Below are 18,889 nucleotides of genomic sequence, written 5' to 3'. Positions count from 1 at the left end.
ATCTCTGAAAGACTATCAGAGGAACTGCTGACAGTAGTTATAGGCTGGGCACAGTGGCTCACAGGTATAATCCCAGCACTTCGGGAGGCCGAAGTGGGTAGATCACTTGAGCCCAGGAGTTCAAGACCAGCCTGGGCAACATGGTGAAATCCTGTCTCTACAAAAATATACAAAAAATTAGCTGGGCATAGTGGTGCACACCTGTACTCCCAACTATGCAGGAGGCTGACCTGGGAGGATCGCTTGAGTCCAGGAAGTTGAGGCTGCAGTGAGCCACGATCACACCACTGCACTCCAGCCTAGGCAACAGAGTGAAACTCGTCTCAAAAACCAAAACCAAAACAAAACAAAAAGCACAGTGGTCATATCTGAGGAGCACAGTGGTCATATCTGAGGAGAGTAACTGGGACTTGGAGTACAAGAATAGGAAGTAAACTCTTCTCTGGGAGCTTTTGTGTTCTATATTATAGTTTATATTTATTTTTCCCATGTGCATTTTAAAACCATTACGTTAAAATACAAAAAGTGCGAGGACAGTAGTGTATTAGAAGGCATACTATACTGATGGTCAGTTGACCTGAGCTGTAGTTTGTTTTTGTTACGAAGTCCCGTGATCTTTCCAGAACTCAGTGTCCTCTTCTATGAAATGTGGACACTGACCTAGCTGGTCTCAAAGGCCTCTTTCAATTTTAACATTCCCCCATTCCATTGACTAACACAGAGATACTTTTATTGCAGAAGTGCTTCGGTCAGGCAGTATCTTTGAAAATAATTTGGCCAATGAAAGCCCTGGCATTGGATGAAAGTGCTAGCTGCTGGGAATGCTACCCCTCCTTTTGGTTCTCTTTCAAGTCCTTCAGGTATTACACTGTGCTTTCCCTGAGACAATAAACTGAAACAACTGATTTCTTTAGCTTCACAGTTTGAAACTGTGGCTTTTAATATAACCTCACATTTGAAATATTTTAGGCCTGTTTTTCTTTAGGATCGGGTAGGTTTAAATCTCTGACAGATTGACCGAATCTCATTACCCCCTATTATACTATACAATGAAAGCTTATTTCCTAAGTGTTTCCACATTTTATGCTCACATTCACATAGATCTAAGTGGCCGAAACATTTAACTAAATGGACTATTCATACAATCTTATTTCCGGGCTGGTCATCTATGTCAATGATAACAGTAGCATTCATCGCATGGCTATGAATCTGAATCTTTAAAAAAAAAAAGAGAGAGAAAGAATAATTATTTAAATCTAAACTATGCTCAGACTAGTGATTTAAAAGCTTTTTTAATTAAAAAGTAATTTAAGTTCATTTTCAAAGGTTCAAACAATACAGAAGTGTATAAAGTAAGAATTGAAAGTCTCTTCGCTGCTCTAATCTCACTCCTCAGAGGTGATCACTGGTAAGTATGGTATATATCTTTTCAGGTACACATACACACACACACACACACACAAACTTCACTTTTATAATAATGAGATTCTACTGAACATGCTGTTTTACAATTTGTTTTTGTACTCAGCAATATGTTGTTCTTGGGGTACACAGAGCTGTACCTCACTCTTTTTTTTTTTTTTTTTTTTGAGACGGAGTCTCACTTTGTCACCCAGGCTGGAGTGCAGTGGCACAATCTTGGCTCACTGCAAGCTCTGCCTCCCAGGTTCACGCCATTCTCCTGCCTCACCTCAGCCTCACAAGTAGCTGGGACTACAGACGCCCTCCACCACACCCGGCTAATTTTTTCTATTTTTTAGTAGAGACAGGGTTTCACCGTGTTAGCCAGGATGGTCTCAATCTCCTGACCTCATGATCCGCCCGCCTCGGCCTCACAAAGTGTTGGGATTACAGGCGTGAGCCACCGCGCCCAGCCTACCTCATTCTTTAAAGGGCTATAAACTATTCAATCACGCTGATGAACTAGCATTTATTTGCATATTTTCTCAGTGTTGGACCTCTAGAGTTAGTTTCCATTTATATGTTGTGAGAAACCATGTTGTATTGAACTTAGACATTTGGCTAGAAGTTTTATAGAATGTTTTCCTTGAATTAGGGTTCTAGGCACTTCCTATATGCTAGGCACCAGTGTAAACACTTTACAAATATCAACTTTTAAAATTCCCATGACAACCCCATGAGTTATAGATACTATTATTATCTCAGTTTTGCAGATGATAAACTTAGGCTCAGAGAGGTTAAGCAACTTGTTTGAGATCTCATGGTTCTAATTGGTAGAGCCAGGATTGGAATCCAGGATCTCTGAATCCAGAGTCTGTCCTTAACTCATATGCATTCTGCTTCCTCATAGGATAGGTATATTTGGAATCTTGATAGATACTGCCAAGTTGTCCCTGAAAAAGGTTCTATCAATTTATATTTCCACAAACTGTATTTGAGTGTTCACCCATTTTCCTATTTCATTACCAAACCCTATGTTCTCACTTTTAAATTTTTTTGCCAATTTGTGGTTGGAAAAATAGTATCAAATTATTGTTTTAACTTACAATTAATGCACCATTAACATTTATAATACTTAGCTTTTATTAGACCTGTACTACAATAAAATACATAAAAGAATTCTTCATCATTTCCAGATTATCATCCCAGAGCCCTCCCTGAAGCCCACACACAGCTTCTTCAGGAAATGCTGACAGCATGGTATACACATGGCTTCCATGTTTGTCATGGTTCCAAAGTTTGCTTTTGAAAGAGTTTAATTTCTTTCTTTCTTTCTTTCTTTCTTTCCTTTATTGGCTAAACTCCCCCCACAGGACCTGAGTGAGCAGAAGGCTTTTCAGAATTACAGCCTGAACTATTTCTTGAGCAATTTGGGAACTCATTTCTAAAGCAGTCCTCAGATTCACACAACGTAGTTTGTGACGGAGTATGCCCAGAGCAGGTAGGAAAGGCAAAACAGCATTTTGACACTGAGGGATTTAGCAGAAAGATCTGACCCAACAAGTAAAAACTCTTTTAAAGGTTCAGTCAAATTTATTCTCATCACACTCCTCTGGAATGCCCAACAGGCACATGTTTTGTCAATGAAAATTGTTTTCAATCTCATTGATGTTTTGTTTGGCAAGAACCATTTCTTTCAACAATTTCTTATTAATCATCTATAATTTTTCACTTCTGACAGTGTTATCACCAGTGCTTTCAGTAACTGCATACTTATAAAACAGCCAAACTTCAACCTGTGTTCAGTTTTTATCTGTTTCTTGGGAATGTAATTTGGACAAAAAAGTTACCAATGTATTTACAACCAAATTTCAGATCTTCAACATTACAGAGGGTAAGAAATGTGAACACAATGGAATTCTTCTATCATCCTTATTTTGTGAGATCTAATTAGTGTATACTCACCTTCCCAGTAATGTCATGTTAGCTTTCTCCCTGTCTTTGTGGCTTGTAGATTTCTGTCTCCAGGGGCATGGTTTGCATTGTGGTGATCCAGATATGGATAAGGCAACATCCAGTGTCTTAATAGGGTCCTGCCTTCCAAACAAATAATTCACTGTGGCTCTAAGATTGTGTCTTTCTGCATATGCCAACTGAAGCTGTTTTAGCCAAACTACCTTCTACATAGGCCTAGTGAAAATACCTTCAGGGCTAGATGAAGGTGTTTGGCATGCTTTTTCTTCCATGGTGGGGGCAACATTGGGCAGTGCTGCCTTCCTGGCTGTGAGCAGCTTGTGGGTCCCCAGGGACCATTTCACTGGACTTCAGCTTAAACATTGTTTATACATGGCCATCGATTTCCTTTACCAAGAGCTGCCAATCCAATGGCATTAGCCACACCTGCCATGCACTTCCACCCCTCCTCAACCAGGTGGTAAGCACAGGAGACGAACTGGTGTTAGGAGAAAAAGCCATACCGATGGTCCAGTGCAGTGGGATAGCCAGGAAACTTGTTAGAAATTCAATTCCCTGGCCCCACCCTACATCTCTGGGTGATTTGGATATAGGCCATAACATTTGAGAACTGCTGCTCTGGCTTAATACATCAGAATCTTCCACTTTATTATTTTATTTCCATATTTGTATATTCCTCTCTTCCCCTTTGACATTTTCTGTCATGGTTTTGCTTTCTAAATGTCTTTAAGCTGTCTTGTTGATGGGGGTGCACCCTGACGAATGGTGTGCTGGCAAAGATTTAACAAAAGGCTCCAGAGGAGGGCAGACTTGAAGTGGAGCCTTCAGTGGGCAGTGTGAAGGGTGCTGATTTCAAACAACTCATCTGGTATGACTGAACATGAAGTTGGGAAGAGATGTGCATAATTGAAGTGGGTGAGAGCCAGTCCAGCACCCTGCAGAGAGGTAACAATAATTTTGTAGGTACTTCCTCAAATTTAACTCAATGGAGGTTTAGATTGGGTTTAGATTGAGTCATTAGTTGCAGGTCATTTGTTGAATCATTGAATACTTTTGGTTGTTAAGGTGACTGAAATACTCAGTTGATGTCCTTTAAGATCACTGAAAATATTTAAAATCAGCTTACATATGGTATTTTGGAAATGCCACATACGTAATGGATTAAAACCCACAACTATATTTGCTGCCTTTCCTATGCATGTCCTGTCAAAATTATTTTTTGGTGGACTATAAGCCCTAAAACAACATGGACCTTGTTTTCCTCTCCATTATATTCTCATTACTTATACTCAGCATTGTTTAAAAAAAAGTTTGTTGATGTAATAAATGTGCAGTTGATATAATAATGTAATAAATGTATACTGCCATAACAAACTACGACAGACTAGGTGGCTTAAACAACATTTATTTCCTCACAACTTTGGAGGCTAGAAGTCCAAGATCAAGGTGTCTGCAGGTTTGGTTTCCTCTGGGGCATTTCCCCTTGGCTTGTGGATGGCCATCTTCCACCTGGGTCTTCACAGTCTTCCCTTTGTACATGTTTGTGTCCAAATTTCCTCTTCTTATAAGGACATCAGTTGTATTAGTCTGTTCTCACACTGCTAATAACGACATACCTGAGACTGGGTAATTTATAAAGGAAAGAGGTTCAATGGACTCACAGTTCCACATGGCTGGGGAGGCCTCAAATCATGTCAGAGCGCAAGGAAGAGCAAAGTCATGTCTTACATGGATGGCAGCAGGCAAGAGAAGATAATGAGAGCCAAGCAAAAGGGGTTTCCCCTTATAAAACTATCAAATCCTGTGAGACTTATTCACTACCACAAGAACAGTATGAGGGCCAGGCATGGTGGTTCATGCCTATAATCCCAACATTTTGGGAGGTAGAGACGTGTGGATCACTTGAGGTCAGGAGTTCAAGACCAGCCTGGCCAACATAGTGGAACTCCATCTCTACAAAAACACAAAAATTACCTGGGTGTGGTGGCACGTGCATGTAATCCCTGCTACTTGGGAGGCTGAGGCAGGAGAATTGCTTGAACCCGGGAGGTGGAGGTTGCAGCCAGCTAAGATTGCACCACTGCAGTCCAGCCTGGGAGGCAGAGTGAGACTCCATCTCAAAAAAACAAAACAAAACAAAAAAGAATGGTATGAGGTAAACCACCTCCATAATTCAATTATCTCTCACCAGGTCCCTCCCACAACATGTGGGAATTATGGGAGCTACAATTCAAGATGAGATTTGGGTGGATATACAGCCAAACCATATCACCAGTCATATTGGATTAGGGCCCACCTGAATAACCTCCTCTTAATTTATTACTTCTTTAAAGACTTTATCTCCTCATACAGTTATATTCTCAGGCACTGGGCGTTAGGACTTCAACATATGAATCTAGGGGAGAGGGGAGATATAATTCAGCCCATTACAGTAATGATCAAAACTTCTATATTTTAAGGTTCTAATTGCATAAGGAAAAAACAAAACATCAATTGTGAATTACAAGTATATTACACATATACATTTATGTTTACCTCGATATTATAACTTGTATTGATACAGCCTTATCTAAGAAGTGACAAACTAATATTTTATAAATTGCAAAAGTATCTCTCCCACCTCTCCCCTCATCTCATACTGCCTTATTTTTGTTGCATGAGGTTTTTTTCCTGCCAAATGAGTTAGAAGAGTGGAAGAGATGGAAATGTAGTTTGCATATACAGAAAAATTAGGTATTGAAACGTATGTACACATACTATATATATAACATATACGTATCTTGTGCTGTAAGAATAAAGTGTGGGCAATTTATCCTAGCACATACTTTCACTGTAAGGAAAATATCATTGGGGAGATTCAACTGCAAAAGTCTGATCTCACATTTCTGAGATTATTTTTTGATCTGATGACTATGAGAACAACACAAAAGTTCAAAGTGTGGAAAGTTTATAGAGCCTTTGGGGTGTCATTTTCTTGGGAAGGAGTAGGCTCCAAAGAAGCTAGAACTTTCTGGGTTGAGACATAACTCCTCTGTAGTCTTCACGCTGACCAACTATGAAGAGGGCATCACGACACCTGACTTCTGGCCAGCTTCTTGTTTTTTCCTTATTAACACTCTGTCATCTTAAATCCTGTGGTGACGTAAGTGAATCATTACACAACACTTTGATTTTGATTTTACACTACAGGTTTTTTGTTTGTTTGTTTTTAGGGTAGGTGTAATTTTTTTGTTTCTTGTTGGGATTACTATCAGATTTTTAAAAATTATTTATTTTATAGCTTTTTAAGTTGGGGTTCTCTTTTGATCAGTCAGCTTTCCTTTAGAGATCCCCAGAATAATTTCAACATGCCTTGAGGGCATATGTTCTTATAATATAATAGCATGACTAAGTGGTTATTGGCCACCAACCTAGCACAGTGAGGCATGCTGTTATTACACAATTACACACATCCTGGTGTGTGTCTTATTATGTAATTGTAATTCAAAGATGCTGCTGAAAGCAATTACATAAGTCCTGTTCATTTCACAGAGAATCGAAAGGGCAGAAGTAAAGCAGAGTCAAGCTCCTAGGCATTGAGGGCAGTCATTCTTTCTTTACTTATTTTTGAGACAGGGTCTCACTCTGTCACCCAGGCTAAAGTGCAATGGTGCAATCTCAGGTCACTGCAACCTCCACCCTTGGGGCTCAGGTGATCCTCCCACCTCAGCCTCCCAAGTAGCTGGGGCCACAGGCACGCACCACCATGCCCAGCTTTTTTTTTTTTTTTGTATTGTTGGTAAAGATGGGGTTTTACCATGTTGCCCAGTCTGGTCTTGAACTCCTGAGTTCAAGGAATCTGCCTGCCTCAGCCTTCCAAAGTCCTGGGATTACAGATGTGACCAACTGCACCTGGCTGGGCAGCCGTTCTTTAGATGGTATGTCACATCTCTTGATAGAAGATTAGGTGACCATTCTCAGGGCATTGAATTGGCACATTTTGACCTTCTTATCCAACATTTCTTTTTTTCCCAGACAGCAAGCAACAATAGCAGCACCGTAATTTGTCGTTTTATATTTACTTTTAAGGTTTTCAATAAAGTAAAATGGAGTGATACAGTGATGATATTCTCTGCCTCTCTAGTCGGACTTTGAATTTTTATTCTGTGTGTCCAGGGGTATGACACATCTTGAATTCCAGGAGGACTTTGAATTTTTATTCTGTGTGTCCAGGGGTGTGACATATCTTGAGCAAATAAAATAAAGCTTACCTACTCCAAGTATAATAGAAACCTAGAAGACAGGGCAAGGAGAGTTGCTTCTATTACTCAGTGTAGCTCTCGGAGTCAGATAGCAAGGACCACTGGTTATACACATTGGGATTCCCTACTGTCAGACTATCCCTTAAGGTTCTCTTCTGATGAAGGTTTTTGCATAGGTGTGCACTTCTGCAGAGGGGCTGGAAACTCCGCCAGGTAGAGTAGGAATTTTTCAACCTGCTCTATGGTTGTCCAGTTGAGGATGTGTTTGTGTGGTTTCTAAAACACATCGAGGAGCCATATAACAGGAGCCAATACTCATTTTTTTTTTGAATGAATGACTTGAGAAAGCAAGCTGCTTCCTCTTTTCTCTTTTTCCAATTTCTCCTCAAATCCCAAAGGATCTTTGAATATCACTGAGTTACTTGACAGGTTAGTGTCCAGTGAATTTACAAGAATTTGGTTTGGAAAGAGCAGGCTGTCTTCCTATGTGATAAGGAGTCCCTAGATAGCAGTGCCTTCTCTTGAGAATGCAGCTAAGCACACTCACAATTGTGCCTCTGTGCAGGGGATATCCCAAGTGGCCAAAAAGAGAAAGCAAAGCATGGAACCAGCTATTGAGTCTGTAATTTTATTGTGAAAACTTGGTACCAGTGTGATGGTAGATCATAAGTTTCTTGAGGACAAGGAGTGTGTCATTAATTTTGTGTCTCCAAGGCCAAGCCCAGGATTTGATGTATAGGAGATCTTTAAAACATGGTCCCTGCAATGGTTAATTTTATGTGCGACTTGGCTAGGCCCTGGTACCCAGATATTTGGTCAAAGATGTCTGGATATTGCTGCAAAGGTATTTTTTAGAAGAGATTAACATTTAAATCATAGACTGAGTAAAGCAGCTTAGCCTCTGTGATGGTTAATTTTATGTGCCATAATGTGAATGGACCTCATCCAATCAGTTGAAGGTCATAAGGAAAAGGCTGATCTCCACTGAGGAAGAGGAAATTCTGCCAGCAGACTGCCTTTGGACTCAAACTGCAACATCAGCTCTTCCCTGAGTCTCCAGCCTGCCCACCTAACCTGCAGATTTTGGACTTACCAGCCTCCATGATTGCATGAGCCAATTCTTTATGAATGAATGAATGAATGAATGTCTTCAACATCTTTGCTTTACTCTGATGCTCTCCCCTACCCCCACAATTCCAGTGAAGTGAGGAAAACTATTTTGCCAAGCCAAAACTTTGGATCTTTGCCCTAAAATCCCAGAGTCTTCCCTTTAAATAGAGAGTGAAAGCCCTGATACTGACAAGGATAAGACAGGGGAAAGATAATTTGGTGGGGGGGTGTTGAGGGAGGAGAAGAATTCACCAACTCCCCTCAAAATCTCTGATTTCATATTTACTGTTAATATCCAATGTAAAAACAGTTGGCTTGATTTAAATGTCTTTGTTGGTTTCCCAAGCCCCATCACCACCACCACCACCGGCTCACCCTGCCAAGGCCTGAGATGCTGAAGACCACTTTTCAGCCTGATGTAATTTCTAACAGCTGAGATACTAAACACTGAAAAATGGGGTTTATAATGGAAATGCTGACAGACTATTAACTATAGCAGCACTGCTCTAATAAGTGGAATGGCCTATCTTAATCTCTAGTTCATAAATATGCAAATACAAGACTGGAGATTTGCTCCAAAAAATGTCTCTATAATTTTAACTGACCTTTACTGATACCAAATGAGCCTGTTGCTTCAGTTTTTGTACGCTGGATATAAAGTACAGGAGATCCAGACGCCTGTCGGCCTAAAGTATATAAAGTTTAAACTGCCAGCTACTAAACTCTGGGCTCAGATTCCATTTCTCTTCACATTCACAGTCTTTATTGACATTTTCATTTTTTTTTCCCCAGGGGGTGTAAGCCGAGTCGGGGCGGGGCGGGGGGAACAAACCTTGTTCATCCCCCTTCCCCCACGACATTACTTCCACATTCACAGCGCCTGCCCAGCCAAAATTCATGGATCGCCTCAAGGACAAACAGGCCATCTACACTGAATTATAAATTTGAGTTTTATCCAGTTTTCTGCCTTTGGACCAAATGGGCAGCAAATCCAGTGACTTCATATTTAATAACCTAGATGTCATTTGTACTGTGTCTTTCAGCACAGAGTAAAGAATTGGATGGCTAGCAGTTTTGCAGATTTTTCCCCCTAATTATTTGAAGCTGTTCAGCCTGGTATTCGAACTATTGATGCAGAGCCAAATTGCCAGCAGGGGAGAGATCTGTCCAACCCAGGAGCTAAATGAGTCACTGAGAGTCAATCTGTTTTTCCCTTGCTGCTGGGGTTTCCTCTGGCCCTGGCCTCTCTGTCTCTCTGCTCCAGTCAGACACAGAGCTGCGGGCTCAGCCCTCATTGGCTCCTATCGCCTCCCATTCCCCTCCTCAGCCCTGCTTGCTGCAGCTGTTGATGGGGTCTGACTGGCTGGCTGCGGAGATTCAGGGCCTCAATGACACCATAGTTGAGGCCTTGCTTTGACAGAAAATGAAGACATCTTTGCCTTGTTGCATTTGCTTCTCCAGTAATACATCAGGTATCTGGAGAGTAAGGCCCACAAGCAGAGTGTGTTGTTGGGGTGCGATGCCAGTTCATCAATTCCCGACGTCCAGTTTTCAGAGTGCTCTTCTACTTTTCCTAAGTCCAAATGGAGTCCTTGGTGCCAGAATCCTGCATGTGGTCATAAAATAACAAAAATAAAGGTCTGTGGATGTGCTGGAGGTAGTGGCAGGGCAGAATGCCACCAACATAAGCCAGGCTTGCTGGAGTGGTCACTCTTCAAGCATTGGAGAAAAATTCACAGTGCTTCTAATAACATATTTTTTTTTCCAGTAGAAACATTTTATTTCTAACAACATTTACTTAAAAACAAAATTCTTGTATTCTTCATGTAGGGTCAGTATTCAATTGCACAAAAATATGCAGCCAACTTAAGAACTATATATAAGATTAAGACACCTGGTATTTCATGGTAAATGATTAAATTAACTAACACAGTTATATCCTGAACTTTGCCATTAGGAATGACAATTTTGTTCGATATGCATTGAGGATTGTGGGTAATCTAAACTGGTATGAGCTTTTTCTCTTTGAAACTCAAACAGAATTAAGGAACAGCATTCTCTGCAAACAGAATATGGAGTTTGAGAACAGCCACAAAAAATTCTCTTGTAGTAAGCTGAACTGCCCTAGGAGTACTCAGGAATTAGACAACTCAGGAATTAGAGAATTAGAGAACTGGAGAAATGAGGGGGCGTGGATAGTAGGGAGAGAAAAATTGATTAATTGATTTACTATATTTTTCAAATAGAAGTATCTGGGAAAATAAGACAAAACAAGCAGAGTTGTTTCTTTTTCACAGTGAAGCCCCAGAGGGGTGAAAGCTTTGTTCTCCCTGGGTAGCAAGCTCTTTTTTCACATTTCCGACTGCATATTCCATATTTATGATGATTTTTGGTCTCTCTGTTCCTGGCTTGCTAGGTGGCAAGGGCAGTTAGAGAAAAAAGGCAGATTTATGAAACACAGAAAAATTTCTGACTGAAATCAGGCTTGGATTTGTGAATCACTGTTTTTTCCCCCTGTGGTCACTCCTGTGATGAGGTCAACTGCTTCAATCCTTTAGGTTTTGTAGACAGGTTTCCGGATTCCAGGAGTCCCAGAAGGTCCAGGGAGCGCTCCCCACATTTTAGCCAGAAGTAATTAACTAAAACATAAAGGCCCCACTTTCTCTTTTCACACTTTGAGCCACAGATCATCTAATTCCTAGCTTGAGACATCAGATTTCAGATCATTAGTGCAAAGCATCTTCCACAGGAGGCAATAAAATGTCACTTTATGTAACTCAGCTACAGTTACACTGCCTTCAGAAAGCAGGAATCTCCCTGAAAACAAATTTACATGAAAACAGTCCCATTGTTTGAGAATTTATGCAAATGTTGCACAAAGGGGTTTGATAGTGATTTTAAAAACTTAAATCTTTATCACTGCCTCAAAGATATCCTGAGAAACTTGGTTACCTCTAAAGAATTCCATTGCACTTATTTTTTAAAATGCCTATAATATAGAGTTGTTTTAAAAATTTTCCCTAAACTCTAAACTTCTTTCTCAGCTTCAAAGCCTTCCGTAATGAATATCCTAAAGAGAGCCTAGTGCATATTGGTTTAACACTTACTAGGATCACTCATTACTAGTTAAGAAAATTGAAGATAACAACCATAGCACCAAGTATTTTGAACAACATAAAATGTTTCTCCCGTGGGTGTAGCTCTTAGGGACCGCATGGGGATACACACCCCTCAGTGCTCAATCAGCAAAAGATGAAGCTGTAAGTGTCTCAATCCATGTTGATTGACTCTGAACTCCCCAGTGTTAGGAATCTGGATGTGTCCATTACTGCATGTTCAAACAATGAACTGCCTGCACCAGAAATCTGATTTCTGTAGAAAGACATTAAGGGGCTGGGTGAGGAATAGGGTGTCAACCAAACGTTGTGATATTTTCCTTTGATTTTCACTTTCTTTAAATTCTTTTCCATTTACTACCTAGTGACTGTCTGGCATTGGTACCCTCAGTTTCTTTTCTTCTGCTTTTCCTCCTAATTCAGTGTGGAAGATGATCAAAGTATGACATTTCTTCTACCCCAGAGGCTGGCATTTCTGCAGGCACAAATGAGCTTGGTTTTCAAGCACTGCTCTTTGAACACAAGGAATTCCTTTAATGATCACGCCGGACTATATAGACTTTGGAATCAGACTCTTTGAATTCCAGCTCTGCCATTTACCAACTTTGACACTTTGGGTAAGTCCTTTTAACCTCTTTAAGCCTCAGTTTCCTTTTCTGCAAACAGGAATAATGATAACTAACAATAATAATAATAATCCTTTCTCATTGATTAAAAATAAACTGAGCTGCAACTGCTATTCGTATGCTCTCAACATATGTGTGTGTGAGTATATATTTATTTTATATAGGTACCAATATACTATATACAGTATGATGTAAATAATAAAATGCAAAAAAGTAAACTAAATAATAAGGTTACAAAATAAACAAAAACAAATAATTTAATATTTTCTTTTTATCCTGCACAAATACTGGGAGCATTACTTCCACTTTCAATAACCTTAATGCATGTAGTGTGTTTAGCAGGCTGCATAGCACAAAGTAGTACTCAGGATATGTTAGGTTATTACTTATGTTCATGCCTAAGGAAAAGTTTAATTGGCGAAACTTCAGTCATTCCTGCAATGGAGAACATTCTGTTTCCTTTGGCTTCTTTTTTGACGTGACTTTGCTCTTATATAAGCAGCAGAGAATGGCTGAGTTGTAAGTCAAACTCTTCCAACATGGAAGAAACTTATTGCACAGTTCTGGTCAGCATTTTTTTTCTGCTCAGGTGTGCTCTACATTCACAATTATTTTCCACAAGGTTTCCTGTTTGAAGGAGGATTGGTGACTTCCCTTCCTTCAGACAAGCAATGATAACACAGTTGTGTTCCCTTGTGTGAGTCTGGGGTGACGTTGGCTCCTTGAGAAATGAAAACTTTATCATAAGAATCTGTGAAAATGGGGAAAATGGGAAAAGGAGGACAGATTCAAAATTGGAGGAAAACAGGAAAATCTCTCTTCATCTTTTCTAATTGTTCTTTTAATGAAATCAGTACTGCCCTTTGGCATTAATGATCGTATGCGAAAGGTAAGACACATTGATTTTGGATTTTATTGTTGTAGCATGGAGTATAAGTCTAGATATTTGTATAAATATTCTTGGTAGTGATGCTTCTAATTTCACACTCATTTATTTGTTATTCCTAAGCATTGGTATATATGCTTAGCATTTACATCTATGTCAGGCCCTGTGCTACTTTGAGTGTGAATTTATCTTCTGAACAAAGAGAAGCAAACCAAGGGAAATCCGGAAGCAAATCTAGCAAATCAGAAGCAAATCTTGCAAATGAGGAACACAAGATTTGCTAGAAAATTTAATGTGAACCAAGTAGTGATTGACCTTACATTTAAAAATTAGTATCAACCTTTCTTCTTGGAAGATCATTTCTTTTTTCTTTTCTTTTCTTTTCTTTTTTTTTTTTTTTTTGGACAGGGTCTTGCCCTATTGCCCAAGCTGGAGTGCAGTGGTGCCATCATAGCTCACAGCAGCCTCAACCACCTGGGCTCAAGTGACCTTCCCACCTCAGCCTCCTGAGTAGCTGGTACTACAGGCACATGCCACTATGCCCTCCTAATTTTTAAATTTTATTATCTTCTGTAGAGATGGGATCTCACTATGTTGCCCAAGCTGGTCTTGAACTCTTGGGCTCAAGTGATCCTCTCATCTTGGCCTCTCAAAGTGTTGGGATTACAGGCATGAGCCACCATACCAGGCCTTGGAAATTCTTTTATAACCTAAAATGTAAAAGCTTGGCAAAAATCTTAAAATATTTTTAAAAATCAAGGAATTAAAGGCAGAATAGAAATTTGCATTAATCTTGAGAAAAGTACTCAGTAAGTGCTCAGTAAGTATTTTAATTATGTTTTGGTTATTCTGGATCCACCGGGTGTCCAGGCTTAGAGATTTCCTTTATGTTCAGCCTTTTCTGTTGGCTTCACTCTTCTTGAAGCATAAAATCTTAATGTAGGCAATGGTGATGTGAGTGTGTTTGCATACTTTTTTTGTTCTTCTCTTGTTTCTGCACACAGAAAAGACCACATTTCCTGGTACTTAGGGGACTTGTGACTTGCACTAGCTAATGGGCTATAAACTGAAGTGGGACAATGTACATTCTGGGCCTAGGCATAGAAGAATGCTATGAGGTCCTCTTTGTCTTCTACAGTAGGGACATGACCAGATGGTGTAATCACCTTCAGCCTGGGTCCCTGAGGAACTACCTGGAGTTGCTCCTGGTGCCTGAGTAGCCCTAGGAGCAGAGCATCTCACTAACTTGTGATGAGCATGTAGTGAAACAAAATAGAAACCTTTGTTTTGATGATCCACTGGGATTTTAGGGTTAATTTGTTACCTCAGCATAATCCGGTCTATCCTGAGAGTTGCGGGGTTTTTAGTTTTTATGTTTTTATTTTTCCTAGAAAAAGCAGAGATGTCTAGATCTTTCTCTAAAAATGTTCTACTCTGAGAAATTGTGAGCAAAGTACCACGATTTAAAGCCATCAGGGGACTGAAGTGAGACCAACTTATGAAAAGATCAAGCAAAAGGACTCAAATATTTGAAATAAACATACACGTCCTGCTGGTCAAGTGTGCACATTGGAGAGTCAGCACTGTGTAGTGATTCTTTAAGGGATTCATCTAGGGAATTTGAATTGTGACAAGACTTTAACTTCATGAAAGATGAGGAAGAGTGCCCATTCAGGCTTTTAAAAGTGAGAAATAAAGGGTGACTTTTTAGTATGAGGTTTTCAGAACTTGAAAATAAAGAATTTGTACCACAAATATCTCTAGGAATGATGATCACTTAGGTCTCTGAGAAAAAGATCCACAAGAGTGAACCACAATTGGAAGCAAACAGAACTTATCAACACAGGAAAGTCCAGAGGGAAAATAACATTTTGGGTAAGAGCTCTCAAGTGTGTATCGAAGAGCTCCTAGTGTAACATTTTTCGTCATTGAGCTAATCTGGCATTATATAGGATGAAATCATTTTCTTAAATTGCTAACTAAGAGATGTCATGGAATAAAGCCCCTATGAGTAGAGTGGATATAATCAATATTCTAAGTTTGAAAGATAGTGACATTTCTGATTCCCCTAGCAGCCTGGAAGTGGTGGTTGCATGGCAGGCTCTAAGGCTGACTTGTTGACCTGTGAGGCTCTTTAAAATGTACTTTTAAGGCTGCTTTCTCCCTAATCTTAAACACTTGACCTTTGAGTCTGATATTCTTCAGTATTATTAGATTAGATGATTAGTTATTAAATATACTGTCTCCAGCAAATAGGTAATTGTGTAATGCAATGGCCCTCAGCCTTTCCAGGCCATGTTCCCAAGACATTTAGAGTTAGAACACTGAGTCCTTTTGTAGTAGGAATCTTTAACCCTTTCTGTGGGTCGAAGAACGTACAGGGGTTTCCCTAGGTCTCAAAATCAGCTGACTGACGAAGGGCAGTAAAAAATGTAGAGTGTCACATGTTTTTGAGAGCCATAAAATTCAAAGATCACAGAACTTTTATCACATTTATGCCCACATAAGACTGAGTAATACATACACCAAGATTTTCCCTGTGACAAGCTGGGTGTGATGAACAAATCTAGGTCCTTCCCAGGCTTTATGTTGGGAGTTTGAGAAAAGCTTAAGCACTGTTTTGCAACCAAAAGCATGCAGGTGTTAAAGTTTTAAATGTCTCTATTGCTTCTTGCCAAATTTTGCCTGGCATGAAGGGTTGGGGATGGAGAGGGGACGAAGAATAGAGGGAGGGACAGGATCTAGCATATTTTGATTCCTTAATATATGCAAAGCACAGTGCTAGGCATTTTACATATACAGATTCATTTAATCGTCCCCTAAATAGAAATAAAGTTTGTGTTATTAGTCCTCATTTTGCATTTAAGGAGCCTGAGGCTCAGAAAAGATAAAGTTGCCTAAGTCCAAACAGCCAGTAATTGAATTAGAATTTGAACTTGAGTTTGAAGTTCTTATTCTTTCCAATGTCTCACAATGTCTTTATTTTATTAAGTGCCTACTACATATAGATAAGGTGTTACTCATGTTGGCAGAAAAGGTAAGATGGTCAGGAAAATCTAGGAATGAATTATCCATGTCCTGTTTTTTAATTCAGTGTTTTTGGTAGCACAGTGTAAGGAACACAAAAGTACTGAGACACAATGATCTCTCCTTAAATTCGAAGCCGTAACCTATTTGAGAAGGCAAAGCATCATGTATCAAAGAATTCCTAAATTGGATGCTATGAATAAGTCCAAAAGTTCCCAGAGGTAGAGTAGAATACCTCTGATCTTGTAAAATAGCCAAGATTTGGATAGAAAGGGCATTTCAGGTACACGGCATGGGAAGCCATGAACTGAGGAGTGATGGTTTTGCAGAAAGACCAGCCTGGCTGGGGAGGAGGAGCTGACTGCTCTGATTACCTTCCCCTGCCCTGGTCTAGACTGGTCCTCTGTGCTCCTCTCTCATTGCCTTTATCACACCCAGATAATTAACCACATGTGATGTATGTGCATCCATCTTCCCCTGTGAACTCCTTGGGAATAGGGGCTGCCACCTATTCACCTTCTTATTCTCAGTGCTTAAAGCAGTCCATAAAGCCCATTAGGTGCTCCATAAATAATTGTGAAGTAGATGGATGGAAAGATGGATTTAGATGAAAGGATGAATAGTGGATGATACATTTAGAACAAAAAAGGGAACCAAATTGACACAGAGGCAGGAAAAATGTTGAGCCAGATATGACAGTAAAAAGTTCTTGACTGAGTGTGTAAACAAATACAAATAGTATTTATGAGTGGGTTAGAATGATGAAAGACTAGGAGAACTGAGGTGATTAGAGCATGCATCAGTGAAAGTGAGAATGAGGAAGAATGAGGAATTGAAGTCAGAGAGTAGGGAGCAACCATGGGCTTTGGTTAGAGCTCTGATGGAAGGGAGAGGAGAGAATGGGCATCCTCTAGGAAGAAATGTGGGGTGCAGGGAAAAGGATATTGTTTTAGGAAATAATGAGGACACTTCTAGACACATTGAAAAATTGTAAAATGAGCTTAAATGATGATACTGAGCATTAAGTGCTAAGAGGGGCATTCAGGGTGACTTTAAGTATTTTGGAAAATATATGGAAAGAGGCTGGGAGTAGAGATGTGGATGGCTGGACAGAGTCAAGATTCTACCTGTTGCAGTCAGAGTCCAGATGTGTCTAGGGGTGAATGATTGCCTCACCAACTCCTGGAGATTATGGATTCTCCCTGGAAGCCACAGGAAGTTTGAGGTATGAAATGATCCATGTGACTTAATTCACCATGAGATTTCCTAAGGCCTTGGTGTGGGATTTCAATCTCCCATTAATCAAATTAAATTAATTTTTGAAGCCTCTTGACTGATGGTGAGTGAATCCCAGACAAAGGCATCCCAGTGGGCTACCAGTGCCTCAGATTTCTACCCTGCTTGACTTGACCGCGTGTGCGTGCACACACACACACACACAATTAAGGTTAGGGTTGGAACAAAGAGAAAGGCACACACAACACATACATTTCTAGCCATTCTGAATTTCTAGCAGTTCTAGATGGTCTTAGGTCAGCAAAGGATTCTTGCACTCAACATTCAGCCAAAACAAGGCTAGTGTTCTTATCATAGCACACCCCACCCGCATAGAGACAAGAAACATTAGCTAAAGGATGTTCAACTCTCCTAAAACCACGAGCCAAGCCCAAATCATGACTCAGAAATCCAGACCTCAGTCATTTCTCCTGCTCATGAAGGCATTCCTTTTTTGAACTGGAAACAAACTCATAAATAAACATCTCCTTCCTCAGTGCCCCCAAACAACTTGATGGACAGAGAACTCTGCATTTTATAGGAAATGTTTGCAGATTTTTATGGTAAGTTTCCAAAAATAAAAGCACAAACATTTCTCCTCACATATATTTGTTAAGATAGTTACTGGTCCAAGTAGGAATACATATCATCCTGAAGGTAGAGAATGCACCAGGATCAGATCTTACCCATTTTCATAAACACCATGGAGCATAGTTAGCTCAGAATCCTACAGAGTCCACTTGGCTCAGACCCACACTGGTGCTTCAGGATAGTTTAACGTTTGGGGAACAGGTTCCCTTACTGACACATAGCATAATTAGGCATAATGTCTTAAGCGAACATATTAGCTCGGGCTTTTAACAGTGTGCAAGCCTCAGCTTCCGCAATAACAACCTAATCTTGTGTGGGAGCCATCTCAGGCTTCACTTGAACACAGGCACTGTTGTCCACCCACAGATAAAGCTTGGAATGGTTTTATTTATATCGTCCTTGTTAGTCATGCAATCTGTGCGCAAACAAAACAACATTATTCTTATCTCTTTGGAAAGTTTAATTCATTAGCAATTAAAAACTGGTGCAGAAGAATGGCCAGGCACCTGGAAAAGGCTCTTCCTAGCACAGCACACCCCGAAAGAGCAGTTTGTGGGAGCAACTTTCACCAATAACAACACAGTGACATTTGCTGAATTGTTGCACAGCCTTGTTTTTGATAAATAGTTTAGCCATGTAAGG

At 40.0% G+C, this 18,889-nt stretch overlaps 1 long non-coding RNA gene across 1 annotated transcript in view, besides 1 other annotated feature; it reads left to right on the top strand.

Moving 5' to 3' along the window:
- LOC101927468 (uncharacterized) overlaps positions 1–18,889 on the top strand; it is a 38,979-nt gene that overhangs the window by 17,676 nt on the left and 2,414 nt on the right. The window contains exons 2-4 of the long non-coding RNA NR_120331.1: positions 1,327–1,408; positions 2,775–2,902; positions 12,266–12,459. This is a non-coding gene — a long non-coding RNA (uncharacterized LOC101927468). The remainder of the gene's footprint in view (positions 1–1,326; positions 1,409–2,774; positions 2,903–12,265; positions 12,460–18,889) is intronic.
- Positions 9,757–10,258: an enhancer, noted in NCBI's record as "NANOG hESC enhancer chr1:147691416-147691917 (GRCh37/hg19 assembly coordinates)". NCBI's record gives its function as "activates a minimal SCP1, AML or CMV promoter by ChIP-STARR-seq in primed H9 embryonic stem cells {active_cell/tissue: H9 hESC(primed)}" and the evidence as "EXISTENCE:reporter gene assay evidence [ECO:0000049][PMID:30033119]".

The sequence above is a fragment of the Homo sapiens genome, chromosome 1, assembly GCF_000001405.40.
Source record: "Homo sapiens chromosome 1, GRCh38.p14 Primary Assembly".
Classification (NCBI taxonomy): Eukaryota; Metazoa; Chordata; class Mammalia; order Primates; family Hominidae; genus Homo; species Homo sapiens.
Note: the sequence above shows the minus strand (reverse complement) of the source record. Positions and strands in the feature narration are given on the sequence as shown.